At 53.3% G+C, this 26,288-nt stretch overlaps 1 protein-coding gene across 1 annotated transcript in view, besides 16 other annotated features; it reads right to left on the bottom strand.

Annotated features, from left to right (window-relative positions):
• The window catches only part of MED26 (mediator complex subunit 26), a 53,286-nt gene that overhangs the window by 7,010 nt on the left and 19,988 nt on the right, over nt 1-26,288 (bottom strand). The window lies entirely within an intron of this gene.
• Nucleotides 62-633: an enhancer, noted in NCBI's record as "H3K27ac-H3K4me1 hESC enhancer chr19:16692801-16693372 (GRCh37/hg19 assembly coordinates)". NCBI's record gives its function as "activates a minimal SCP1, AML or CMV promoter by ChIP-STARR-seq in naive H9 embryonic stem cells {active_cell/tissue: H9 hESC(naive)}" and the evidence as "EXISTENCE:reporter gene assay evidence [ECO:0000049][PMID:30033119]".
• Nucleotides 634-1,205: an enhancer, noted in NCBI's record as "H3K27ac-H3K4me1 hESC enhancer chr19:16693373-16693944 (GRCh37/hg19 assembly coordinates)". NCBI's record gives its function as "activates a minimal SCP1, AML or CMV promoter by ChIP-STARR-seq in naive H9 embryonic stem cells {active_cell/tissue: H9 hESC(naive)}" and the evidence as "EXISTENCE:reporter gene assay evidence [ECO:0000049][PMID:30033119]".
• Nucleotides 2,002-2,191: an enhancer, noted in NCBI's record as "active region_14239". NCBI's record gives its function as "activates an Ori minimal core promoter by ATAC-STARR-seq in GM12878 lymphoblastoid cells {active_cell/tissue: GM12878}" and the evidence as "EXISTENCE:reporter gene assay evidence [ECO:0000049][PMID:35858748]".
• Nucleotides 2,891-3,427: an enhancer, noted in NCBI's record as "H3K27ac-H3K4me1 hESC enhancer chr19:16695630-16696166 (GRCh37/hg19 assembly coordinates)". NCBI's record gives its function as "activates a minimal SCP1, AML or CMV promoter by ChIP-STARR-seq in naive H9 embryonic stem cells {active_cell/tissue: H9 hESC(naive)}" and the evidence as "EXISTENCE:reporter gene assay evidence [ECO:0000049][PMID:30033119]".
• Nucleotides 3,682-4,331: an enhancer, noted in NCBI's record as "active region_14240". NCBI's record gives its function as "activates an Ori minimal core promoter by ATAC-STARR-seq in GM12878 lymphoblastoid cells {active_cell/tissue: GM12878}" and the evidence as "EXISTENCE:reporter gene assay evidence [ECO:0000049][PMID:35858748]".
• Nucleotides 3,682-4,947: a biological region, named in NCBI's record as "H3K27ac-H3K4me1 hESC enhancer GRCh37_chr19:16696804-16697686".
• Nucleotides 4,065-4,947: an enhancer, noted in NCBI's record as "H3K27ac-H3K4me1 hESC enhancer chr19:16696804-16697686 (GRCh37/hg19 assembly coordinates)". NCBI's record gives its function as "activates a minimal SCP1, AML or CMV promoter by ChIP-STARR-seq in naive and primed H9 embryonic stem cells {active_cell/tissue: H9 hESC(naive and primed)}" and the evidence as "EXISTENCE:reporter gene assay evidence [ECO:0000049][PMID:30033119]".
• Nucleotides 4,362-4,411: an enhancer, noted in NCBI's record as "active region_14241". NCBI's record gives its function as "activates an Ori minimal core promoter by ATAC-STARR-seq in GM12878 lymphoblastoid cells {active_cell/tissue: GM12878}" and the evidence as "EXISTENCE:reporter gene assay evidence [ECO:0000049][PMID:35858748]".
• Nucleotides 6,452-6,501: an enhancer, noted in NCBI's record as "active region_14242". NCBI's record gives its function as "activates an Ori minimal core promoter by ATAC-STARR-seq in GM12878 lymphoblastoid cells {active_cell/tissue: GM12878}" and the evidence as "EXISTENCE:reporter gene assay evidence [ECO:0000049][PMID:35858748]".
• Nucleotides 6,672-6,741: an enhancer, noted in NCBI's record as "active region_14243". NCBI's record gives its function as "activates an Ori minimal core promoter by ATAC-STARR-seq in GM12878 lymphoblastoid cells {active_cell/tissue: GM12878}" and the evidence as "EXISTENCE:reporter gene assay evidence [ECO:0000049][PMID:35858748]".
• Nucleotides 6,992-7,161: an enhancer, noted in NCBI's record as "active region_14244". NCBI's record gives its function as "activates an Ori minimal core promoter by ATAC-STARR-seq in GM12878 lymphoblastoid cells {active_cell/tissue: GM12878}" and the evidence as "EXISTENCE:reporter gene assay evidence [ECO:0000049][PMID:35858748]".
• Nucleotides 7,372-7,421: an enhancer, noted in NCBI's record as "active region_14245". NCBI's record gives its function as "activates an Ori minimal core promoter by ATAC-STARR-seq in GM12878 lymphoblastoid cells {active_cell/tissue: GM12878}" and the evidence as "EXISTENCE:reporter gene assay evidence [ECO:0000049][PMID:35858748]".
• Nucleotides 10,133-10,635: an enhancer, noted in NCBI's record as "H3K4me1 hESC enhancer chr19:16702872-16703374 (GRCh37/hg19 assembly coordinates)". NCBI's record gives its function as "activates a minimal SCP1, AML or CMV promoter by ChIP-STARR-seq in primed H9 embryonic stem cells {active_cell/tissue: H9 hESC(primed)}" and the evidence as "EXISTENCE:reporter gene assay evidence [ECO:0000049][PMID:30033119]".
• Nucleotides 11,532-11,591: a silencer, noted in NCBI's record as "silent region_10309". NCBI's record gives its function as "represses an Ori minimal core promoter by ATAC-STARR-seq in GM12878 lymphoblastoid cells {active_cell/tissue: GM12878}" and the evidence as "EXISTENCE:reporter gene assay evidence [ECO:0000049][PMID:35858748]".
• Nucleotides 12,951-13,150: an enhancer, noted in NCBI's record as "active region_14246". NCBI's record gives its function as "activates an Ori minimal core promoter by ATAC-STARR-seq in GM12878 lymphoblastoid cells {active_cell/tissue: GM12878}" and the evidence as "EXISTENCE:reporter gene assay evidence [ECO:0000049][PMID:35858748]".
• Nucleotides 24,007-24,804: an enhancer, noted in NCBI's record as "H3K27ac-H3K4me1 hESC enhancer chr19:16716746-16717543 (GRCh37/hg19 assembly coordinates)". NCBI's record gives its function as "activates a minimal SCP1, AML or CMV promoter by ChIP-STARR-seq in naive H9 embryonic stem cells {active_cell/tissue: H9 hESC(naive)}" and the evidence as "EXISTENCE:reporter gene assay evidence [ECO:0000049][PMID:30033119]".

Raw genomic sequence — 26,288 nt, forward strand, 5'->3', positions numbered from 1 at the left:
CGCCTGCTCTACCTGTAAGGTGCTAGAAACCCACAGTCCTACGCCGTAAACAGATGAACTCTGCCAACACCTGAAGGGGCAGAAAATGGATCCTCCAGAGAGGAGCGCAGCTCGCTGCTTCCTGGATCCCAGCCCGGTGAGACTGGAGCTGACTTCTGAGCCCTAGAGCCTGAGATGATAAATGTGTGTTGTGTAAGACACAGAGAGAGGGTGAGTGTCCAGTGCGGCCACTCCCTGGAGCCAGCAGAAGGCAGTCAGTGATGTCAGCAGAGCTAAGGATGGGGGCAAGGTGAGACTGCCCTGCCCTGCGACCTCTGGGGCATTGATGTCAAGCAGTCTGAACACTGTGTGGGGAGCACCACCTGGGCATCCAGACACAGGCCTCCCAGGCCCAGGAGGCAGACACTGAGCAATGCAGCGAGGAATCCCTGCAAAGGGCCTGGCCCCGACCCCAGGCACACTGAGCCAGAAGGCTCCACAGAGCCTCTTTATAGATGGCCACAGTCTGTCCCAAAGAACACTTAGCACCCAATTGGTGCTGGTCCCATAGGAGCAAAATAGGAGCTGGCTTCTGACCCTGGCCCTGGGGACCCTGCCTTAACAACCAACTGACCCCCCACCCAGGAGTGGCAGGTCTCCCACTCTCATGGAGGTGGCCCTCTGTGAGTGACAGAGACACCAGGACTCGTATGTGGCTGAGGGGAGGCTCCCGCTCTGACTCCAGGCCTGCTAAGTCCAGCATGAACCCTCAGGGCAGGGAGGCAGGCCACAGGGGGAGGGCAGCACCTAAGGTGGCCTCCCAGGGAGGTCAAAAAAGGATGTGGCAGAACGAGCTGTGTCCACCTGGGCTGGAGACCGACTTCCATGCTGGAAAGCAGAAAAGAGCTGGAGAAGGATGGGCAGGGAGCTGGCCAGACAGCACCAAAGCCCTGCGGCAGGGGAGAGGCCATGGGTAAGGACACCGGGAGGAAAAACAGACCCAAAAGACCCAAGGTGGCTCCTTCACAACCTGTCTTCTATCCCCCTTAGCGACTGCCCCCACAGACCACCTGCCCTTGCCCTGTTTCTGGGATGCCCTTGGCACCTGTCCATCTATCTGGGGAAGTACACTAGATCCTAATCTCAGCACAGACACAGTTTGACTCCACATGGGGAGCCGCTCCAGGCGATGGCCTCAAAAGATGGCTTTAAGGCAGCTCTTCAGGCTTGCCAGGGCCATGTCTGTGGCCCGATGGCCAATTGCAGCCTCTTGCTGTCAGGAATAGCCTGGCACATCTGAGGCCCCCTCCTCCTTTGGATTCTCCCTTGGGATTTGTTCCCAGTCCAAAAAAACCTCTCAAAACACCTGCCAAGTTGCTTTCCCAAAGGGGCAGGAATCCCGTCAGGAACTGTAGCCTCTCACTTCTCCACTAGGGACCCCTCAATAGATGCAGATGGGTCTGAACTTCCTTAACCATCAACGAAGACAGGCGTTGCCTCCCCTTTCTACCAACACTGACCGCCCCTGCCCACTTAATTTGCTTCAGTTTGGCCTCTTCATTGCTGCGGGAAGTGCCTGTGAAGGGCAAGGGTGTTGGGTGGGGGTGGGGGGTGTCGACAGCAGAACCTCCATGCAGCTACTAGGAGAAGCAGGGGTAAATGCAGCAAGGAGCACTCTGGAAGCAGGTGGGACCTCCCTGGGGTGCCTGCTCCAAAGGCAGGCAGGGCAGGAAGTTAGCAGGTGGGACCAGGTGTGGCACAGGTATACATGCAGGTCCAGCCCAGCCGCCTGGTACATGAATGTTGATGGAACTGACTCCACTGTCACACCGAACACTTTCAGGTCTTAGAATGGAAATCCATGAGGCATGATCAGGTACACATGGGCCAATAGGAATGTGAACATTAATCTCGTCCTTCTGGAATCTCAGAAAAACCAAGCAGGGAGGCCTGGTCTCAGGTCATAGGCATCACAGCTAGCATAGATACTGAGGAAGAACAGTTTGCATCCAGGCAGAGGGTGAACTGGGGCCACCAGCACAACCCTCAGCACACAGGTGCCCCACACTTCAGGGATGCCCCAGGAACACACGCATGGGGGCATGGAGGGGACAACTTCTCGCCCAAGACCACAAGAGGTCTGGCTGTCCCAGGGCTCTTTTGTGGTCATCCTTCCACATGAGAACTTAAAAAGGCTTCCACGGGCGCGGTGGTGTGCACCTGTAATCCCAGCTACTCGGGAGGCTGAGGCAGGAGAATCGCTCAAACCTGGGAGGCGGAGGTTGCAATGAGCTGAGATCACGCCACTGCACTCCAGCCTCGGTGACAGAGCAAGACTCCGTCTCAAAAAAAAGAAAAAGAAAAAAAAAACCGAAACCCAAACACTGCCCCCCCCCGCCCCGCCAAAAAAAAACAAAAAACAAAACAAAAAAAAGAAAGGCTTCCGGAAAGGCTGGCACCTTTGTCCCCAGAGAGCCCCATAGCCTGTGCTAAGCCACAATTCCAGCCAGCCTAACTGGTGACATGTGCTGTTCAGCTCACAGGAAATGTGAGGAAGGAGGCGGGGCTGGACACGCACAGAGACAGCCTGAGGGAGGGGCCAGCACCCCTCAGAAGCAGCCTGGGTCAGGCGCCTGGAGCTGCGTGAGACACCTCATTCTCCCACACCCTGGGAGCAGTGGGGAACCCTGTATGCGACTTCACAGCACACCACGCTCCGTGTGAGCTATTAAAGACCCACCACGCATCCTCGTCTTTCAGTGACACTTTCCTGAAGAAATAATACAATCTGGAATTTGCTACAGAATCATCCCCTAGGGTGAGTGACAGGAGGGGGATGGGTGAAACAAAGTCACATGGCTGTAAGCAGCTATCTACTGAAGCAGGATGGTTACCTTTCTCTACTTTTATGCTTGAAATTTCTCACAAATAAAGATGAGAAAATACATCTATTTCCTAGCATTTGTTTGGGAGAGTTCACTGATCTAGAAGGACTGGCAGCCATCTAAAGGGGAAGTGAGCAAATAGCTGTTTCCAACTCCTCATAGTGGCTTCACTGTCCACCATCTGGCCCCTGAGTGGGGCAGCAAGGGCCGAGGGCTGGGTAGGATGCCACCTCCCTCCACGTGAGCCTGTCTCAAGTCTCAGGCCTCCTAACTGATTTGAACTGCACAACACCATCTATCTGGTGAGACCCCAGGAGCCCCTCACCAAGCTCCCCTACTCTGGTACTGGGCTGCTGCTTAACAGACCTGGTGCAGAAACAGCAGGCACCCCTGGGGCTGGAGAGGGGAGCTCTGAGTACCCATGCCAGCTGTCCATCCCGGTCCGACTCTCAGGTGTCCTCACGCCTCTCTTCTAAAGGAAACCACAGAGAGCCCGAACCAGGGGCACACGCTAGGTCGACAGTTCCTTCCTGCAGGGAGAGGCCTGACCTGTACCAGGAAGGAGCCCAGGACAGCCACCACCACAGAGAGGACAGGCCCTCAAGTGGCCCAGACCAGGAGGGAGGACTTGGCAAGAAGGGGTGGGGGCTAGGTCACTCTCTTCCAGAAGGGGAGAAACATAACAATGAGCCAGCAGTAACCCAGGGAAGGGACAGCCGTCACTCCAGGACCTGCCCAGCCCCAGTCAGCACCACCTCCCTCCCATCTGCGATCCACATCCTATGGCTCTGGGCACAGCTGAGCCACAGGACACAGCCACTCAGAACTTTCTTTCCAGGTTTCCCTCAAAGGCCAGCCAGCAGCACTCCTCTGTGGCCCTGTGAAACCCAGTGACACCTCTGACCCCTCCGGAGTCCGGAAGACTAGACTCTTCTGAAAACCCACCTACGACAGGGTGCGTGGAATCACCTTTCAAACCAAACTCCTGTCGGCAAATATTTTAATTGGGCCACGGCATGTGTCCGAGTTTTTCTTCTGTGAAGAGGATCACTGGGTCTGAGTGCAAAGCTGGGGCCTGTTCAGTGGAGTGGACCCGCTACTGGCCAACCTCTTCCTCGCTTTATTACAGGGGTGTGTAAGTAAAACCCTCAGGCCCTGAGTAATTACTGCTGGGGATTTCCAGCCCTGGTCTGAAACAAGGAACTGAGACTGAGTTTTGAGTCCCAGCAGCCCCTTGGCTTGCCTCTCCATTTTCTCCACATCTGAACTGTTCCCACCCCGCCTGAGATCCCCAGCCTCTTGGGAATGCAGCTGTGGTAGCAAAGGGGAAACCCTGTGCTGCCCAAGGTCTGACCAACCAATAGTCCCAAGGGTGCTGAGCCTGGGCAGGCCCAACCGGGCACAACTCGCACAGGACCATCACTGGTGGGTTGCCCTTGTGCCAAGTTCTTTCACGTCATCCTCACAAGCGCACTCTACAGATAAGGTAACTGAGGGCCAGGAAGGTAATGGAGGTCCCGGGTAGACCACACAGCTAGAAGATGGTGAGGCCTGGCCTTCCACTAGCCTGACATGGCTACCAAACACACAGGGCCCATCTGGTGCTTTGAGTAGGTGGGGTGAAGGGTACCAGGTGCCACCAGCCTGTGGTGATGTCGGCACTCTGTAAAGACTCTCCTGACGTGCTCCTGCAGTGAAATGCACAGGTTACAAACAGTTCCTTGAACCCACACAGGGCCACCTCCACGGTCTCCGTGTTGTCTATGCCTTGTCCCCAGGATGCCTGAGAGGCAGGACCAGGGTGACCCAGGCATGCACGGGCCACCACAGCAGGGCTTCAGATGGCACTGGAGCCCACTCCCCACCGGGCTGGCCCTGGGAACAGTGCACATGGAGCACAGACTGCAGTTCTGCACTCCCCCACCTCGGTGTCCGGCCAGCCTTCCTGACCACCCTGGACGGTGGGCGGCACTGCCCTGGCAGCCTGTGGGCCCGCACCTGTGCCCCACAGCCCACATAACCTGCTCCTTGGGCTCAAAACAGCCCCTGCTGAGGCCTCAGTGGCAAAGCACCTGTAAAAACCGGTTCACTTTAAAAACAACAATGGGGATGTTGTCGGGTTTTTTTTTTTTTTTTAATGCAGAATGGTCTAGACAGTAATTTACAAAAACTACTTAGCTCAAAAGACTGTGGAAGTGTTCATCAGCAAGCAAGCTGTCCTTCCAAACCCAAACATGCCACAGATGGCACCCAGAAACAGACAGTCTGCCTTCAATGTGCTAAGCATTCTAATGCCGTCCGCGGCTGAGTCACCTCGCCCACCCCCCAACCCCCAACACACAGTCGTGTCTGCTGAGGACACACGGGTGAATCAAACAGGGCTTTGCTGGGAGAGTGTGTGTCTGTGATTTGGTTCCCGCCACACCAAGTCTTCCTGCTTCTGACAAACTCCGCACGTGTTCCCAGGCAGCTGGGAGCCAAACTGCCTCTGGTGCAAGTCAGTACAAGAGGCGGCACCTGCATCCCCACCCCACCTCCACCCCAAGACCCCAGCTCTGCCCTCCCTCTCAGCTCTGGAAAGCGCAGCCCTGAGGGGTGCTGCTGTGCTTACCCTCAGGCGGGCCCCACCCTGCACTCTCCGCTCAGCCTCATGGGGCTGGTGCAGGTCCACCAGGCTCTGCCCAGTGAAGGCACCTTCCTCTGAGGGGACCTCATGGGAGCCTCAAACCCCAGGGGCAAAGCCTCAAGTTCACAGCTTCTCAGAGGAAGAATGACACTGGGAGGAACAATGACGGGAAGGTGCATGTCTCGGCCACAGCCACCAAGCTCACCACTTGAAAAGCACTTCCTGCTGGGGCCCTCCTGCTACTCCCAGGAGCAGCCGGCCACCTGAGTGGTCTGTCATGTCCATGTGGCCCTCCCTGTCCTGCAGCCACAGCTCCTGTAATGCTTGGGCAAGTATGCAATTGCATGCTACAACTCAGCCCGGGGGACGGGAAATGCCACCTGAGTACAGGCAGCACGCGGAGCCCTGACTGAACCCCATGAGCAACTCAGAAAGAGGAAGCCCAGGGCTTGGGGCAGAAGTAGGAGCTCCATCAGTAGGCATGCCTGACTTCTGCAGCGAGGGAAACTTGCAGATGAAGCCAGGAGGCAGGCAGCGCTGCTCTCCACAGCCACTGCCCCCACAGCGTCCTTCCCTCCCACTTTCTGTTTTTAGCAGCTCTTCCCAACCAAACTACCAACCTAGACTCTCCTGACCTCTGCTTCAGGTCTGCAGAACTTACGATTCTTACTGCCATTTGGCCCTTTGTGAAGGCACAAGAGCTCTCAAAGCTCATCTGTAAATTGACTCGTTGCTACGCGGATAGAACTGGAGCAGTGGGAAGCCAAGCGGAGTCCTGGTGATAGCACGCTGGGTGGGGGCTTCTCCCTCTCAGCCTCTCTCTTCTAGGAGCAGCTGATAAGAATGCCAGCTGCAGAAGACTGGAAATGACCCAACATCCTCGGGGGAAACACACACACAGTGCTCGGCCCATATATGTTCCGCCAAAGACAGAGCCCAAATAAGAACGAGCCAGCTTTTCAGGAATCAACAGGGAACAACCTTCAAGAGACTGCCAAGCACAGAGATGCACACAACAGCGCACCCTGTGCCGCCGCCTGGAAGATCCTAGCTGAGGCTGGGCAGACAAGGACCTGATGGTTGAGCCGCGCATAGCTGTAGCAGGGGACCGCACCTGGCCTCCAGCACTGACGCAAGCAAGACCTATCACTGACTGGAGCCCAGTTCCTCCTCTGAGAGCATGAGAAAACCACAAGATGGTGTCTGTAGAGCATGAATGGTGTGCTGGAGACCACGCCCCCAGGGGCCAGGCCACGAGGACCCGCACACTGCACTTTCTGCTGGGCTGCTCTGTGGTCTGTAAGATCCATTCAGGCAGGGCAGTGCCCAGCACGGTGCCTGGAGGCAGCCTCAGAGGCCCATTGAGAGAGGAAGCCGAAGGAGAGCAGCCCCCCGCCTGCCTGTCCAATTGGGCTGCTGTAAGATCCTGAGAACTAGTGACCTTCTAGAATTCCCCGAGACAAGTCATCAAATGCTCTCTGAGCACCGACTGCACACAGGTGCTCTACCAAACTCTGGGCCCGCTGGATGCTGGGAGGGGGCGTTAGGATCCCTGTGTACTGACCCGGAGGAGTAGACAGAGACAGCCAAGGTCAAGAACAGAAGCAACAGATAAAATGCCACCACTGAGGCTCTCACCCAGGCTGCCAGGAAACCCCAGGGGAGGACTACACTTGGCTCAGGTCCAGGGCCACCCCTTCCCCCACAGCTCCTGGGCTCTGTGTGGAGCTGGAGGGACAGGAGTGGGCACAGGGGCCTTCTCATTGGGCATTCCTGCAACGAGGGCCACGGTGCAGAGAACCAAGGACACTGTCACCCAAGAAAGAGTCTGGTGACTCTGTGGATCCCATGGTAACCACCATTTAAGGATGGACACTCACGCTATGATCCAGCAATTCCACTCCAAGCAGCACCTACAGAAATGCACTCAGAGCAGCTGTATCAGAACAGCCCCAACTGAAAACAGCCCACGCAGCCACCAACAGAACACCGAATAAATAAATCATGGTCTGTCCATTCAATGTTGGATGAACAAACTGCTGCTACACATAACCTCAAAGACAAATCTCAAAACAACGTTGAGTCAAAGAGCCAAACACAAAAAAACACATTTTTTTTTTGTCCTGGATTAAAAGGTCAAAAGCAGGCAAGACTTCTAGATGGTGAGAGCAGTCAGGGTAGTGGCAGGCAGAGAATGACTAGGAGAGGACGTTGAAGATGGCTTCAGGGGAAAGGCTCTGTTCCTTAACCTGGGTGGACTGGGGTTCTCAGATGTGTTCATAAATGTTCATTCAGCTGTAAAACTTGGGACTTGTACACTTTTCTAGATGTATATTTTCTAGACTATATTTACAAAGGTTGTTAAAAATAACCTACTGTGTGTGAATTCCATGATCTTAGAGGCCACCTCATCCTACAGAAACAGATGGTGAAGCTGTCAGGGTTGTGGAGGAGGGGGAGGTGTTGGCAAAGCAGCCCCTCGTTCCCCACGGCCCAGACCCTCTGAGAGCCCCACAGAACAAGGTCTGAAAACAGCTTCAACACAAGCCCTGGCCACCTCTACAACACACAGTGATGCAATGTGCACTGCACTTCACTGCTCACTGAGAAACGTGTCTGCACTCTCCTGCCCTGGATGGGACTGAGGAGGACAAGGGCACTCTGAAGCTTCCCCGGCAGGAGTACTCAACAGATGAGTGTCCCCAGGAAGAAGTGAGCACTAATGCTACTGGAAAGAGGCAGGCAGGCAGCACCCACTGGGCATGGTGCCAGCACCCTGCAGGGCACTGGGGTCTTGCCACACCATGGTCTCCCCTGAGACCACAGATACGCCCCCTCCACCCCCAACAGGTATTAAGCCACTTTCCCATCCAAGAAGCCAGGGTGCCAGCTGGCCACAGATTCGTTACTAACCTAACCTGCTACCCCATGCAGCCAGCACACACCTGCCTCCCTGCTCCACTGTGACACAGGACACTTTAGGATGAGGCAAATCTGCACATCTATACAGCGGAAAAGGACAGTGAAGAAATGCCTCTTCTACTCCTAGTTTGCTGAGAGGTTTTATCAGGAATAGATGTCTGATTTTGTCACATGCTTTTCCTGCATGTACTGGGATGATTATAAGGCTTTTCATTTCTGGCCTTGTAATATGGTTGATTACACACATTTTCAAATGTTATCTGCCTCCCTTGCTTTAATTTCAGCTCCCTTTCTTTGCTACCTTGATTGTGGTGTTGGTGTTACTGATGTACTTACAAGTTAAAATTTATCAAATTATATACTTCTGCTATGCGCAGTTTATTGTATGTCAATTATATCTCAATAAAGCTATTAATGTCAGGCACAGCGGCTCACACCTGTAATCCAAGCACTTTGGGAGGTGGAGGCAGGTGGATCACCTGAGGCCAGGAGTTTGAGACCAGCCTGGGCAACATGGCGAAACCCTGTCTCTACTAAAAATACAAAAAAATTAGCCAGGCGTGGTGGCAGGCACCTGTAATCCCAGCTACTTGGGAGGCTGACGCATGAGAATCACTTGAACCCGGGAGGTGGAGGTTGCAGTGAGCTGAGATTGCACCACTGCACTCCAGCCTGGGCCACAGAGAGAGACTTTCTCAAAATAAAATAAAATAAATAAATAAATAAATAAATAAATAAATAAATAAATAAATAAAGCTATTAAAAAAACACCCATGGAGGCAGACAGATGCAGCAGGTCCTAGGAAAAGTAGGAGGGATGGCAGGCAGAGAGAAGGACTGCTTCTTTGTTAGAGAGGGGAACCAGATGCCACCTGGGTTTGTCCTCCCTGGGGAAGGAGGGTGGGCCCTTTGGGGAGGCTCCTTCTCTCCTCAGTAGAAGGAGAATGACTGTCACGCCTAGGATCTCAGAGGGACTGTAAGGACTGAAAGATACACTTGAGAATGCACACAATGCACTCCCCATCTCAGACCAGACTCCTGCAGGCATCAGTAGGCACCTGCTTTTTCCTTCTGGGACATTCTGTATGCACCCACAAACACTTGTGCACTGCACTGATTAGGCATCCTAATTGTAGCTTTGGAAAAAAGCTGTAGCTGAAGCTGGGTCACAGTGTCCTATGAGCTGTGAAATAAAATGCCAAGCAGCCACCAAGCCACTTCCCAAGGCTGAACTTACACACACACCCCCTTGTATGCCTACCTATAGGGTTTGGTCATACTTCACTGGAGACCCAGGTGAAGGAACCAACTTCCTACACTCGAGAAAAGGCCAGCGGCTGCAGACATCTGCAAAGTCTTGGGCAAACGACAGTCTGCTCTCCCCAAAACATGGTGCAAGCAATGATGCTGGATCCATCCTCCTGACCTGAAAGTAGCCACGGTGCGTCTGACAGAGTCTTTTCCCTCCTAATTCCGCATGGTTTTCTCCTATGGGAATTAAGCTCCTAGAGTGAGAAATCTGTCTGAAATCCTGACTTTCCCCGCTAGAGAGCTGATCTAGATCCTTCCTATTCAAGTGTGGCCTAGGGGTCAACAGCACGGGCATCACCAGGGAGCTGCTTTGAAACGCACAATCCCCATCCCCATCCCCCCTAGACCTCCTGCATCAGAAGCTGCATTCCAACAAGCCCTCAAGGAGGCCCAGCCCCACAGGGATGATGGGCAGAGGCACCCAAGGCTGTGGGCTCTGCTTGGCACCATGTGCCCAGCTGCAGCCCTGACCCCTACTTCTGTGGCCAGCCAATCAGAGGCTCCCTGGTAACACTCCTGGCACCACCTGCACCCTGCTTTCCAGAGTCCCTCCCAGGTGTGACTCATCCAATCCCTCTGACAACTGTAAACCCTGAGGGGGTGTGATGTGCCCAAGTTCCATCTGCAGGAGGGGACTGCAGAGTCCATACCACGACCCCACAGAGCCCACCAGGCACAGCTGTGGGGCCCTGTCCCGTCCCATGCCAATCTCAGAGAAAGCCTCTCCCGATGGTGGTGTGACAGGGTCCAGACAAACCACAACAGGATGAAAGGACAGGAAATATCCAGGCTGGTGGGGGACGTACCGCCACCAACCAGCAATGGCCACTGTCAGGGACAATGGCATCTGGCAGAGGCTGGGGAGCTCCCAGAGGATGTTAGCAAATCACGCCACACATGTCCCTTCCAAACAAAGTTCAGCAGCAGCAGGTCTCACCCGCTCGCCTAGGCATGACATGTGGAGCCTGTCACCAGCTTCATAACCAGTGTCCCCACCTTCATCCACTTGGCTCCCAGAGCTCCTGGTCAAAACGGCACCCCCTTCTTCTAAACCTCAAAGCCGGTGTTTCTAAGATAATTCCACTTCAGCTCCAATAAGGACCTGAGTAGCTTCTGCGGGCTGGACCGATGACCAGTTATTGCAACTGGGGACATTTTCTAAGGGCAGATGATGGCTGTCTTGGTTCCAATCAACTGCCTTACAAACCACTGCCCTGGAATGCAACTGTTCCAAAGGCGGCATCACTCAACCCTCTGTTTTAAAAACACAAGTCAACGAAAATAACAAGTTGCACCACCACCCCCAACTCACAGCCAAACCTCCCACAGGACTGGCCGAATTCTGCCCTGCTTGGCTGGCGCCGACTCTGTAGGTGGGCCAAGCAGGCAACTGATGCCCACCAATCCAGACACCAGCACCTGGTCCCCAGGAGGGCCACCAGCCCACAGCCTGCAAGGAGAAAAGAAGAAATCCTCCTACGGCCCTCAGTGACATCTCATAGACCCAACAACCTGATGCCGAGGTGCCTATCCGAAGTCACTGCATATTTCATCGGCACCCTCTGGCCCAGGCTGTGCAGAGGACAGGGCCAAATCACCACCTCACCATTCACTGGGTCTGGAAAGCAAGCCCTTTCCAGCAAGGGAGAGGCAGGGAGGCATGAGGGAGCTCCTCCCCTGGTCATCTGGCTCACAGAGCTCTTCCTCCCACCTGCCCACACATCTGCTCAGACTTTCTTTAGCCCTCACTGCCTGCAACACACCCGCTTTCTCACATGTGGTCCAGCCTCCACCTGCAGGTCTGCTCCTCAGGTGCAGGGACCTTGGTTTTGTTCACTGTTGCCTCCTAAGTGCCTAGAACAGTGCCTGGCAACTAGCAGGGACTTGATACATGCCAAATGATGGGTGGATGAAGTCCCTCATCCACGGTTGCTGGCCACCATGTTCACTCCAATATCACAAACATCTCAGGGGTCTCCCTCTGTGGCAAGTCAACACCTAGAGAGCAAACACGCTTTGTCCCGTTGTCAGCTGTCACCTGCACTGGCCATCCCAGAGGATCATGAGAACACAGTGACTCTTGGTGGTCCTCACAAAGCTTCATCAAAGTCCAGGTCAAGGGTGCCATCTCTGAGTGGGTCCTGGAGATGCTGCTAGACAGAAGGCCACCTCTCCTGTCCCTCCAAAGCTGTGGTCAATGGTGGCACTGGCTCTGCTGCTCTCTCTCAGGCAAACATGTTTGCTCAGCAAGGCTCAACGTGTTTTGAGAGAGCCTTCGTTTTCAATGCAGAGGTCCTGGAAGTTACTATGACCACACAAATTTTCTCCAGTTTACCTTCTTGGCAATCCTAAAGCTATTCCAAATTGTTATATAAGGAGGGAGAAGGGAAGCCACATGAGATTTTTGCAAAGCCACGAATTAAAGCAATGTGGAAATTAAACCTAACAATCCACTGTGGTTAACTCAGTGACAGGATTATCCATATAGTGGCGGCACAGTGTGGCAAGGCAGGGAGAGTGGAAGCTTGCTGGTAGAAGCCTGTGTTATCTGCTGGCTACAGTGAGGGCACACTCAAGGGCCACCAGGGCTCCTGAGGCCACTTGCCGCCGAGAGCCAAATCAACCACTTCCTTCCTTTCCCACTAAAGGCTAGGCAGCCCCTGGTGGCTCTGGGGAAAGCCCAGCCACACAGCAGTGGCCCCAGTCAAGCCCCAAGTGGGGTGGAGCGGATCTCACCGGTACTTCCTGCTGTGGACCTGAACCACGCGCATCTCACAAGTGGGGAAGGGGCAGCGAAACCAACCTGAGAGGCCATGATTTGGCCTGGGCTAAATGCCAGAGGACACCCTGCAGCGAGACTCGTGCTCCCTTGTCATGACATGTCCAAGGCAAGGTGGGGTCTGAGCTGGGTTCTAGGAGAGGCACTGAAGTGGCCTGCAGAGGTGGCAGACCACTGGACATGGAGAAGGTTCATTTTTCACCACGGTGAAGATGAAGAAGGGGGAAAAAACCAGAACTTTCTTCATTTGCTAACAGCACCTCTTCAATATTTTAAACCTTTTTTAACTTAAAAAAAAAATCTGGTTTCCCCCACCTTCATCTTCACCACACAAGTGCTGACAGTCAACCACAGCCACAGAAAATGCAACAGTGCAATTAAGGGCAGGAACGCATGTTTTTACTACACCCTAAGGCAGCATTAAAAAGTGCTGGCTCTGGACCCTACCTGTCACCACACCAAAACGGCTCTACCCAGGGAACCTGTCACCAAAGCCAGGGACCCATCAGCCTGCCTCGGCCTCACCTCTCAGAGCAGTTCCTCGAATCCAGGGCTGCTCCTTCCTCCTGAACTCTGCTCCTGCCGGTGGCCCCTCTACAGTCTCAACTTCCTCCACTTGGGGCTCCTCAGGCCCCAACCCCAGATCCTTCCTCCCTCACTGCGGATTCACACTCCAGGAGCAGTGGCAGCACCCCCCATGTAGGAAAGCCCACAGTCCAGGAGTCACCTCCAGTAGGTGCCTCTGCGTTGGACCCCTGTTTCAAAGCCCTGAGATGGTTGACCCCAGCCCTCCTCAAACCCAACTCGTGACACGTGCGCACCTCTTTCCAGCTCTGTGACTGTCTAGACACTCTGACCACATTGGGCCTAATGCTGTGCTGACCGAGCACACCGAGGGAAGCAAGAAGGGACCTGGTGACTTGATTGTGCACGTGCTCTCACCCTGCCCCTGTGGTCTTCCTCTCCTCTGAGAGCATCTACTGAGCCACTGCTGTTGTCAGATGTGCGCTGTCTTGAACCCCAGCAGCCTCAGGAGGTGAGATGAACATTGTCATTGCACAAATGGACACCTGGAAACTCAGGAAGGGATGACATCCTGTGGTGGCTTCAGGCTGAGAGTGCCCAGCAGACCCAAGAATGGAGACCAGTGCTCAGGTCTGACCTCAGAGGCCAAGCTCTGCACAGAACAAAGTGTGGAGCCAACTCACACCCTTCACTCCCCCAACAGCAATGCTTTCCTGGGTGACTTTCCCGTCCTAGTCCAGTGCCAGTAACAATTATATCACTGCATCACAGATACTGCATTCTTTTTTCATTTAACACTTCTTGTTGCTACATAATCTTCAAGATCATGTCTAACAGCTAAATGTTCTATTAATGTATCATAATTCCCTTAACCTTCTCCGATTGCTGGGCAGTTCACTTCTTTCTAGGTTCTCCTGCTGCAACCAGTACTGGAATGAACATCTTCAAACATGCTTCCTTCTCTCATTTTTTCCTTAGGAATCAATTCCCAGGTGTTAAACTTTACTCCAAGAGAGTTCAAATACTGTCATGGCAACTGGTACTGCCTCAACTTTTTTCTTTTTGTTTTTCTTGAGACAGGGTCTCGCCCTGTTGCCCAGATTGGAGTGCAGTGGCACCATCGTGGCTCACTGCAGCTTCGACCTCACTTGAGCTCAAGTGATCCTCCTGCCTCAGCCTCCCCAAGTGCTAAGATTACAGGCAAGCCACTGTGCCCAGCCATGCTTCAACTGTTTTTGGCTCTTGGCTTCCACAGTGCAATGACCCCATCACAAAAGGGAGGGAGAAAGCAGTTAAATCTGCTGTGCCCTGCCAAGGGTCCCAGAAAGCAACCCCATGCTGCGTCAGAGCTGTTATCCTGCCCTCCTTATGTTTCCCTTGACTCTGCACAGGTATGGCAGTGTGTCTCCAAACGTGAAGGCCAGTCAGGCAAGAGAGAGGATCTGGCACAGACATTCATAAATAATTTCCTAGGACTGGCACTGAAGCCATACTGCCCACAATTGCTGACCACAGCCTCAGCCATCGAGTGCATACGTGGGACACCTCCTTGCGTGGAGAGATGCAGACAACTCGGCTGCACGCTGCCACACCCAGCTCTAACTCAGACAGGCATGTGTCAATGCCATTGTTGCTCTACCTGGAGCAGGTTACATTCCTTCAGGAACATGCTGGCACAGGGTGGGGATGTTCCTGGGATGCTGGGCAGGATGCGGGGTTGAAGTGGAAGAGGCAAGAGCAGATCTAGCCCCTCTTCCACGCCACTCCCTTCGCCCTTCACAAAGGAACGGGGTGACAGGACCTGGGGTAAGGTCTTCCAAGACTCCTCCAGGTGTCTTGGGCAAAGTGAGGCCCTGGACGGGGTTCCACAGCCTAGCCACTTCCCATCTGCTGGCTTCCCAGCCTGTAGCCCTTGCACGGCACACTGTGCCACAGCCCCAAAGTTGCAAACAAATGGCCAAGAATGAGGTGGGCCAACTTGCAGCAGTTCATATTCCAACCTCACAAGAAGACCACCACTCCATCACGAAGTCCTATATCTCACAGACCACGCCCACATGGTCAGAGGGTGACAGATGCCAGAGGGGAACAGTGCCCCCAGGTTCATGAGAACACCAAGCCTGAGCCCGAGCATGTCTACCAGACAGGGCCAAGATGGTGGCAGAGCCTAGATCCTTCTCTAGGAACTCTGGGTTCTTCTGGGACACGGGTACAGTACAAAAGCTGTAGCCTGAGATGACAACCTCAGCTATCAATCCCACGTCCCTGTGCCCAGCACTGCCAGCTGACAATAATCTCAATTCAGAACAGCCTCAAAAGCAAGTTAAGTTTCCCCCACTTCACAGGCAGTGCAGGACCCATTCAGGGCTCTCCTGCTACTGTTATATACCAGATCCCAGTATGACACATTCTCCGACATTCCCACTTTCCTAGTTTATTTCAGCAGCACCTCTTGAGGCAAGAAGTCAACTTACCACTGTTGTTTCACACCGCACTTCCTAAACAGGTAACATTTAAGGTTAGACAACAGAAACAACACACCAAGACAATCATGCCTGGGTGAGCATCAGGTTAAGTTTGTTTGCAAAGTTTGCCATCGGAAAATATGAAAGGAGGCACACACCAACACGGTCCTGAGTTCACCCTCTCTCTCCTGGTTCCCAGCAGCACACAGAGGTGCGTCCGGCTCTGTGGGCTGCTTGGTGCAGCCTTCGTTTACCCTTTGTTCTTGCCACATCAGAGCCAGCCACTTTCTAAGGCTGGTTTTTTGTTTGTTTGTTTTTGAGACAGGGTCTTACTCTGTCACCCAGTATGGAGCGCAGTGGCATGTGATCTCAGCTCACCGCAACCTCTGCGTCCCAGGCTCAAGCCATCTTCCCACCTCAGCCTCACAAGCAGCTGGGATTACAGGTGTGCACCACCTTGCCCGGCTAATTTTTTTGTATTTTTAGTAGAGACAGGGTTTCATCATGTTGGCCAGGCTGGCCTTGAACTCCTGACCTCAGATGATTCGCTCAACTTGCCCTCCCAAAGTGCTGGGATTACAGGCGCAAGCCATTGTGCCCAGCCTCTAAGGCTGTTTTCAAATTACCTCCCTGGCCAGGTGCAGTGGCTCACGCCTGTAATCCCAGCACTTTGGGAGGCCAAGGCAGGTGGATCACCTGAGGTCAGGAATTCAAGAGCAGCCTGGCCAAGATGGTGAAACCCTGTGTCTACTAAAAATAAAAAAAAATTAGCCGGGCGAGGTGGTGCACATCTGTAATTCCAGCTACTCGGGAAGCTGACGCAGGAGAATGGCTTGAATCCGGGAGGCGCAGGCTGCAGTGAGCTGAGATCACGCCATTGCACTCCAGCCTGGGCGACAGAGTAAGATTCCATCTCAAAAAAAAAAAAAAAAAAAAAAAATTACCTCCCTGGAGCTTCCAGAGCCCAGGCTCACCCCACCCCCAGAAGGTCGGAACACAAGACTGCCCCTTGACTCAGGTCCCACTTGGGTTCTGGCGACATGATGGTGATGCCCTGGCCTGCCTCCCAGATGCACCCCATCATTCTCCTTAACCCAGCAGCACTTGCTGGTGGCATGAACTGCCCCACTTGGCATCCAGTACTGTTCCCTCCCAGCAACACAGCAAAAAAATCCACTGCTTTTGCTACAGTTGAGAAGTCGCGTCAACAACTGCTGTTCCCCTGCACACCCTCTGACAAGTTCCACCACCAGCACTGACAGTTCCAGTCCTGCCACCCCAGAGGTCCACAGACCCTGGGCCACTGAAGACCTCACTTCTGACACTGGCGCATCAGGCCTACTGTGCCGGACCCATCATCTGTAATAACCTTTAGGACAAACTGTAAGGGAGAAAATGTGCTATGATGACATCAAATAATAATGAGTTCACTGGCTGCTGAAAACCAGGAGAATGTTGCTGAAAAATTTAATGGCTACAATAAATAAAACAAAAGTAATAAAAAAAACACAGTACACATACTGGGGAAACAACTGAAATCAAGTACCAAGTCCCACCAGTCAAACTTCTTGAGCTTCCCTGCCCCTCCCCGCTTGGGGACACATGTCCTCCACTGGACAGCTCCTGGAGGGCCTCATGTGTCCTGGCGCTGGTGCAGTAGGAAGCCTGGGGGAAGAGACTGCTGTCAGGCAGGGCTCCAGATGCCATCGAATCATTTTGATTGCCCTTTCCATTTTTTTTCTACTTCACTCTTGTCTTAAACAATTAATACCTGGACTTGGGTGATATTTCGTGGGTTATACTTTTCCCTAGTACCCATGAAAATAAATGCATAGCTATCAAAATAAAACATGCTCACCTACAAGCCCATAAAGTCCTTTTTCACGGCAGGAAACATGGATCCTCTAACCCATAGGCTTTGCTTTATTTATCAGCAGCCCCTTCAAATCACAGATAAGCTGCAGACTCTGGCCATCCTAAACAAATGTCACGCCTCTCACAAACACAGAGTAAATGTGATGTGTGGTGTCTCCAGACCTGCAGGTAGCAGATGTGCAGGACCCAGGAACAGCTGCAGGGAAGAGCCCATCCAAGCTCCCTTAAATACTAGCTTTTGTCACCCAGAATCCCATATTAAAAGGGGGTGATATTTGGTGGGAGAGGCCAGGGAAGAAGCCCTAAGGCTCTGATGCATTCCGGCCCTCTGACTCCTGATCACCCTCACTGTTGCGCCCCCTCCCTCCAGGAGCAGCCCAGGCTTAACGGATTCCCTCAGGAACCCCAGTTCCAGCCCCTGCCAAACCGCTCCCCTACCCTGCTGGCCTGGGGCTGGAACTGGGGTTCCTCTGTAGCACCCTGCAGCGCAGCTGGGCAAGCCACTTCTCTGTGCACCACAGGACACACCTGTACAGGGGACTGTGCCATTGAGCCCACAGGTGCTCTGAGGACAGGAGAGAGGCTATGTGCAAAGCATCTGCCCTGGGGCCTGACGTAGAGGTCTCACCACCAAAGGGCACTAACCACTTGCCACAGAAGCCTCAAAAGTTAGACCTAGATGGATGCAAATTCTACCCTCTGCCCTCTTGGTGCCTGAGATGGGGTGAGGACACACTCTCCAAGCACCCACCTGTGAGAGGGGGGACAGGCAGTCAACAGGCAGCCAGCCCAGGCCCAGGCCCAGGCCCACCAGGAGCCCAGGAGCACCTCCCTGGCTGTGGTGCACCCTCCCTAGGTCCCCCCTCATCCCCCCGGGCCCTCCTGCCACAGGTCCCTGCAGCAGCCCCCTCCTGCTCCGCACAGCCTTGCATGGGCTCTACTTCCACCTCCTCTTGGCACAGCCCTGGAATTGTGCCAGGCTGAGGAAAGGAGAGCAGATACCACCCCCTCTAGTGATGCATTAACACTGATCAATGACTGGGACCCCTGGCCCTGAAGCTGGATCTGGCCTCAAAATCCACTTTTACCTGGAGCTTCACTGATCGTTGGGGTGCAGGGGGGCCTGCCCTCTCCTTTTCAGGTATGCCCAGCAATCCCCCTATCCAACTGCACATCTGCTAATACTGCCAGAATTTGACAACCCTGCCTCTCCCCACAGACCCCAGAGGCCCTGTGAGGAAGCCTCAACCTCACTTTCTAAGCCCCTATCAGCTCCCTGGGTTCTCAGCCTCCTGCCAGTGGCCTCCAAGACTGCCTTGAACTGCACCACCCCCACTGACCCCAAGTGTAAGATGAGGCCTCTGGGATTCTCCTCCCCAACCTGCTCCTCCCAAAGAGAATCCCACAGGCCCTCCTGCTTGCTGTAGGAGCTCTGCTGAAGATGGACTAGGAAGAGCTGGTTCTTCACAGCCTCAGTGAGGCCGATCAGGCACTATTTTATTTATTAAGAAATTCTTGGCCGGGAGCAGTGGCTGACACCTGTAATCCCAACACTTTGGGAGGCCAGGCGGGTGGATCACTTGGGGCCAGGAGTTCAAGGCCAGCCTGGCCCACATGGCAAAACCCTGCCTCTACAAAAAACACAAAAATTAGCCAGGTGTGGTGGCGCACGCCTGTAGACACAGCTACTGGGGAGGCTGAGGCACGAAAATTGAACCCAGGAGGTTGAGGCAGCAGTGAGCTGAGACTGTGCTACTGCACTCCAGCCCTTTTACAAGCAGCTAAGGCACAGAGAGGTCAGCTAATCTACCTGAGGTCACACAGCTGGGTCTGGGGCCCAGGCAGCCTGGTTACAAACACTGACTTTTTTTTTTTTTTTGAGACAGAGTTTCACTCGTTTCCCAGGCTGGAATGCAATGGCATGAACTCGGCTCACCACAACCTCTGCTTCCTGGATTCAAGCGATTCTCCTGCCTCAGCCTCCCGAGTAGCTGGGATTACAGGCATGCGCCACCACGCCCAGCTAATTTTGTATTTTTAGTAGAGACAGGGTTTCTCCATGTTGGTCAGGCTGGTCTCAAACTCCCAACCTCACGTTATCTGTCCACCTCGGCCTCCCAAAGTGTTGGGATTACAGGTGTGTGCCACCGCGCCCGGCCTAAGTACTGGCTCTTTTACCACACTCTCAGCTGCCACTCACAGCAACACACAGATAAAGCACGCCTGTGGCCTTGAAGGTGCTCCTGGCCTGGCAGGCGAGCAGACATGTGATGAGAGAGCTTCTAAGTGTGTAGCAGGCAGGGCTGTGACACTCAGGATGCTCTGGGGCCCCTAGGAGGGTGACAGAGGGAGTCTGCGAGGACACCTGGAGAGTAAGCAGGAGTCCTCTGGACAAGCTGGGGAGGCAAGGACCCGGGAGCAGCACAAGTAAAGGGCTGGGCACACAGCAGCGCAGCATGCGCAGAGTGCCAGACAAGGTGGGGACACCTCCCGGCAGGCCACCCCGGGCCATGCTCAGCTCAGGGAGTGACAGGGTCAGACTGTCGTTTTAAATAGCTCATTCTGCTATGCAGAAGCAAACACACAGCTGAAGCAGGGAGACAGTTCTGTGGGCGCTGGCCAGCCTCAGGGAGCGACATGGTGAGGGGCAGGAAGGGACGTGGCTGTGGGAAGCAGCGGGGCTGAGAGAGGGAGGACTCAAGGCAGGCCGGGAAGCCCACCACTCGGCTGTGTGCCTGCAGGGGTGTCAGGGGATGGATGGCGGGATACCTGTAGCCAGACACCAGGGAGCCGCCGTCAGCCTGTCCTACTGACGTGCACCTGCTGGTTCATTCATTCCCTATGGAAAGTTCTGAGCACAGACTTTTGGCAGATCACGCTGTACCCATTCTGGGACACCAGTACATCACTGACCATGAGGGAAAAAATGGTGCCGACTGGAACACACAGCTTCTCCTCAAAGACACAGAAATGCGACTGAAATGGGCATTTCATTCCTTCTCACAGCAACCCTGAGCACTTGGAGGTAGGTCCAGGTGGAAGGTCTTCCTCACACCCTGCACACAGCCTGGAACCATAAGCCATCCCCACTACCCTCTCCCCTCAACTGTCATGAATGGGACCCTGAATGCCACACCCCTACCACCTTTCTAAACTTAACTCAGAAACAACCGCTACAGGCAATTCCACTTCTGGGTATGTACCCAAAAGAACCGAAAGCAGGGACGTGGACAGACATTTACACACCCATGTCCACAGCAGCATTATTTGCCATGGCTAAAACATGGTGGATACAACTCAAGTGTTCAGGAACAGATGAATGAATAAGCCAAGTGTGATATATCTGAACAACAGGACAGTATTTCAGCCTTAAAAAGGAAGGGAATCCTGACACATGCAACAACACAGATGAAGACTGAAGACATTATGCTGAGGGAAAGAAGCCAGTCGCATGAACACTGCACAATTCCACTCATACTCAGTAGACAAAATCAGAGAGGTGGAAAGTCGAACAGTACGTGCGCCCAGGGCTCGGGAAGGGGAGGGACGTGAGTGTTGAATGGGAACAGAGCTCGGTTTTGCAAGATGAAGAGTCCTGGAGACAGATGGTGATCATGACCACACAACCATGTGAGTGTGTAAGACCACTGAACTGTACAGTTAAAAACAGCTAAGATGGTTAAGTTTTATGGGATGTATATTTTACAATTAAAACAAAAACAAAAACAAAAACACCAGCGGGACCCTGGCAGAGCCCCTGCTGCCTAAGTTCCTAAGAGGTCCTCCTGCCAGGACCACTCTCCCTCAGGCATCTTTTAGGTGGCTCCTGGGCCCTCTGCTCCTCCTGCACAGGCCACTGAGGCAAACGGGAGTCTCATGTGCAAATAAATGGACAGGGCAGCCAAAGAAGAGAGGGGCTGGGCTTGGAACTGAGACCAGGAAAACCTCCTGAGGCTGTGGAGCAAGTTGTATTTCCAAGATAAGCATGAACATCGCTCCCTTGTGGGACTGTGGGAGGGATCAGATGGCCATGTGGGAGAACTTGCAAGGCCCATAGTCAAGTGCCAGCCAGCTGGAGGTGGGTCTCGATCTGTGCAATGGGAAGCATGGAAACCATCACCTCTAGGGCCACTGTTAAGCCATGAGTGCTCATGAGTGCTTGAGGGCTTTTTTTAAAAAAAAAATTCTTCCCTTCTTTTCTTCTTAACTTCCCACACTATGCTGATGTATCAAGGGCCTTTCTGAATGCTAATACCACATCTGCAGGAGCTATGGGAAGATCCTGGGGAAGGGACCTCAGCCCCTGAGCCGCAGTCTCCCCATCGGTCAATAGCAGGGCCCCAACACTGCCTATCTCGGTATGTGGGGGCCAGATGTAAACAGGTACTCTCCCCCAGGCTCACTCTGGCAGGCCTCTTGGAGCCCACACACCCAACCTCGGCTGTTCAAGTAAAGCAGTGGGGGACCAGGGGAGCTAGGGCATTAGGGAAGGGTCTCTGGCTCCGTAAGGCTCCAGGCAGTGGTGAGAGGACCCCGAGGTTGGAATGCACATCCTGTGAGTACAGGCTCTGGGCAGAGCCATGGAAGAGGTACCCATGGAAAGGTGCCTCTGCCTGCAAGGGGCACCCACAGAAGACTCCCCTCCATTATCTGCCACTGTGAAAACTACCACCCAGCACTTTCACTGCCTGGCAGACCTAAGCACAAGTAGAGGCTCCCCTGGGTGCACAGGGAGACATTCACATGAATATCTGCAAAACACCTTTTCATTAGCAAAACTCTGGAAGCCAGTTCCATGATCATGAAGCGGCTTCTAGCAGGGAATGCTATGCTGCAGTTAAAGGAGTGAGCTAGACCCATGTGTAACCAAGCACAGAAAGCTGGGACACACTGTGGAGGGAGGTGAGCTAGGTGTAGAGTGATTGCCCTGTGTGCCAGAACTGACTGAAAAGCCACATGCACAGTATGGCCCAGTGCTCTGGGCTGTGCCTGCACAGCACAGGAAAATGGACTCTACACTAGTGACATGGGTCCTCTCCAGAGGGATAGAAGAACTGCATCAGGGACAGGGGTCAAAGGAGGCCTTTAGCTGTAACTCAAACATTTTACTTTTTTAAAGGAAGACGTATTTATTGCTTGTGTACTGAAAAGTCAGTGAGAAAAAAGGGAAAAGAAACATATTAAGGAGAACGACTAAGCTCAGGAACGCCCAGGAGTGCAGGGCCATGCCTGGATGTGCAGGCTGAGGCTGGGTCCCAGGACGCTTCAAAGACCATGAGCCACCTAGATTCCATTCTGCATGGGGAAGGCTGGTTCTAAGGACTGTACACAAGGATATCAGAGACAATGGGTTGCAGAAGGCCACCTTAGGCCAGGTTTGCTGGGTGACACCTGTTACTCACTGTCATTCTTAATAGCACCTCATTCATCTGAAAAGTGTCCTGGTCTTGATAAGATGCACAGTCACCCTAGCTACAGGGGGCAGGGAATGGCTCACAGCGATTGCGCCACCCCTACCCCTGGGAGCCGGCTCATGGTGACACAAGCCCACACAACTAGGTTGGGGACCACAAAAATATGTGTCCGTCCCAAGCCTCTGTGAGCCTCATCTGTTCATATGGGTGCTGTTACCCCATTTTCCCACCACAGGTAAGAAAATCAGTACCTACCTGCAGTACTCGACAGCACCCACCAGCAGTGCCAATGTGGTGCCGGTGGCGGGGTGAACTGGGGATTGGTGGTAGCCCCTCAGTGGGGGGAGGGAGAACTTTTTAAGTTACGGAAATATTCTACACCTCAACTGGAGTAGTTACACAGGTATACGAATTTGTCAAAAATGCATCAAAATGTAGCGTAGAGCTAAATAAAAAGACAAATGTGAAAGCAAGACAGACATAACTGTTTAATGAGGGACTTCCACTGCCAAATGTACACCTGAAATAGGCACATTGTACTGTATGTAAATTAGACCTCACTAAAGGCAGTTTTTAAATTGTTGGAGGTAGAATCAGAAAGACAGCTGAGAGGAAAGTCCCTAAGTATGGTTTTTAATGCCTGGAGTTTGAGACACCAGTGTGGGCAGGACACACTGATGAGGCCAAAGGGGGTCCTCAGACTGAGATGAGAACTGAAGGCCATGAGTGACCAGGTGAATGAACAACGCCCATGGAAAGGGGAAATGGATAGAACACAGAGACAGTGGCAGCAGCACCTGGGGCCACCATCCACCTGAGGCAGGTAGGATTGGCCAGGCTGCCCCACTCACTGCACACACACAGTCAGAGAGAGCAGCAGGAAAGGGGACAGGCACAGGGCGCCCTGCCAGGAGCAGTGTTTCTGCACTGTCCCAGCCAGGCGGCACTAGAGGAAAGGAGAGGAGAGGCTCGGGTGAACAGGGTGGGAGACATGGCTTGGTGAAGGCATAGGGGAACAAGGAGGCAGGCGGGAGATGCTGGGCAAGGAGGGGACTGACAGGCAGACTCCATGGCACCGGGAGGAAGAGGCTTGAGCATTCATCCTGTAAATGGATGACCCTTGGAAATGAACAGCTGAGGCTGCATGGCACCCTGCCAGTCACAAAGTGCTTTTTCAAAGTTGTCTTCCTATCGAACTCCTGGTTACAAAGAGCCAAAGCTCTACATCACTGTGTGCGGATATTCGTGCATGGCAAATCTGTCATCCAGACAGGCCAGTTTTCCCCTTCTTCCTTCACTCAAAACTGAGGCCTGGCAAGGGATAGAGCATCGGATCACTACCACACCAGACAGCCAGACAGAGCCAAGCTGTAGCTCTACCTCGCCCTTAGCGGGTCATCTGGAATCCACACGCCTGGGCCCACGGCAGCAGGTGAGGTCAGGAGACAGGCCCTGTGGCCAGCAGGAGAGGCTGCGGTGACTCTTGAATCTCAGGAGACTGTATGGCCCCATAAATGAGGCCAGCACAGTCAGCACAAAGCAGCCTGAAGACACAATGGGGCCGGGTGCAGTGACTCACGCCTGTAATCCCAGCACTTTGGGAGGCTGAGGTGGGCGGATCACCTGAGGTCGGGAGTTCAAGACCAGCCTGGCCAACATAGTGAAACCCCCATCTCTACTAAAAATACAAAAATAAGCTGGGTGTGGTGGCGCATGCCTGTAATCCCAGCTACTCAAGAGGATGAGGCAGAATTGCTTGAACCCGGGAGGCAGAGGTTGCAGTGAGCCAAGATCATGCCAATGCACTCCAGCTTGGGTGACAGAGCGAGACTCCGTCTCAAAAAAAATAAAAATAAAATAAAAATAAAAACAAAAACAAAAGACACAATGAGGGAGGGTTTCCATTTTTTGGAGGGGAGCGGGGGATAAGCAAATGTGGCATTAGCCACGATGAAACCTAGAGAGATTTTTGATGGCTCAGTGATGAAGTCAGCAACAGTGACTGCCACCATCTGGGAGGGGAGTAGGCTGAGACAGGGCTGCTCGTTTCCCAGGGGAGGGGTGCCTGGCACACACCAAGAAGCAATGTTGGTGTCTGGCATCAGGAGCACTTTTGCAGGTTTGGTGGGAACCCAAACCCACCTGGGATGCACAATGCAACTGCTGCAGACACGAGAATTCATTCAGTCACCTTTTCACAGAAGGCTCTCCCTGTGTTGGTCAGTCTGGTCTCAAACTTCTGGGCTCAAATGATCCTCTTGTCTCAGACTCCCAAAGTGTCGGGATTACAAGTGTGAACCACTGTATCTGGTCTCAGCTGCTATTTATCTCCTGGAAAAATAAGAACGTTGGCCAGGCACGATGGCATACACCTGTAATCCCAGCTAAGCAGGCAACTGAGGTGGGAGGATCGCTTGATGCCAGGAGTTTAAGACCAGCCTGGGCAACATAGTGAGACCCTGTCTCTAAAAAATAAATAGATAATAAAAATAAAAATTTAAAAATTAAAAAGTTAGCCGGGTGTGGTGGCATATACCTGTAGTCCCAGCTACTCAGGATGCTGAAGTGGGAGGATCACTTGAGCCCAGAAATCCGAGGCTACAATGATCTATGGCTATGCCATTGCACTCATGCCTGGGTGACAGAGACTATCTCCTTTTGTGGGGAAAAAAAAAAAAAAAAAAAAGGAGCATGTCCATATTGTGTGCCTCGTGCCTTCTGAAGAGGAACTCAGGGAGCAGACAGAGGGCTCACACTCATGTTGGGGAAGGCAGGCAACAGACAAGACCATAGCCACACTAAAAGCCATGAAGAAAATAAACAGTGTGATTAATGTGAGTTGAAGGCTTCCCTCACAACCACTGGGCCAGATGAGGTGGTCACTTCAACCCCGGAGCCCTGAGAGAACCCGGGGAGGTAATACATCTGGAGCAAGAAGCAGTGCAAGCTTGTCCAACCCATGGCCCTCGGGCCACATGCAACCCAACACAAATTCGTAAACTTTCTTAAAACATTATGAGATTTTTTTTTAAGCTCATTGGCTATCATCAGTGTTAGTGTATTTTATGTGCAGCCCAAGACAATCCTTCTTCCAATGTGGCTCAGAGAAGCCAAAAGATTGGACACCCCGATCTAGAGCAAGTTGCATGATACCCTGCCTCCCCTTCAGGGCAGCTGGCTCCTCGTGAGCCAATGAGGGGTGCTAGACAGGGCCAATGGGAAACTACGATCACGAGAACTGTCCCAGCAGCCAGCTGCAAAGGCGCAGACACCATCTGGACAAGGAACCTGTCTGTGGCCTGAAGCCCGGCAAGCAGGCCAAGGGGCACCAGGGCCCTGGTGGGCAAGGCTCCAGGCCCAGGCCAGATCTCCGTCTGCACACGTTCCAATACATCTCCTCTTCTGGGGCCGCGAGCCTTCAGCATCCAAGCCAGGTAAGGGGCAGGGACTCTACCCAGGTGTGTGCTGGAGCCTGCTCACGCCAGCTTTACTGAGAGAGCAAGCCCG

The sequence above is a fragment of the Homo sapiens genome, chromosome 19 (genome assembly GCF_000001405.40).
Source record: "Homo sapiens chromosome 19, GRCh38.p14 Primary Assembly".
In the NCBI taxonomy this organism is placed as follows: Eukaryota; Metazoa; Chordata; class Mammalia; order Primates; family Hominidae; genus Homo; species Homo sapiens.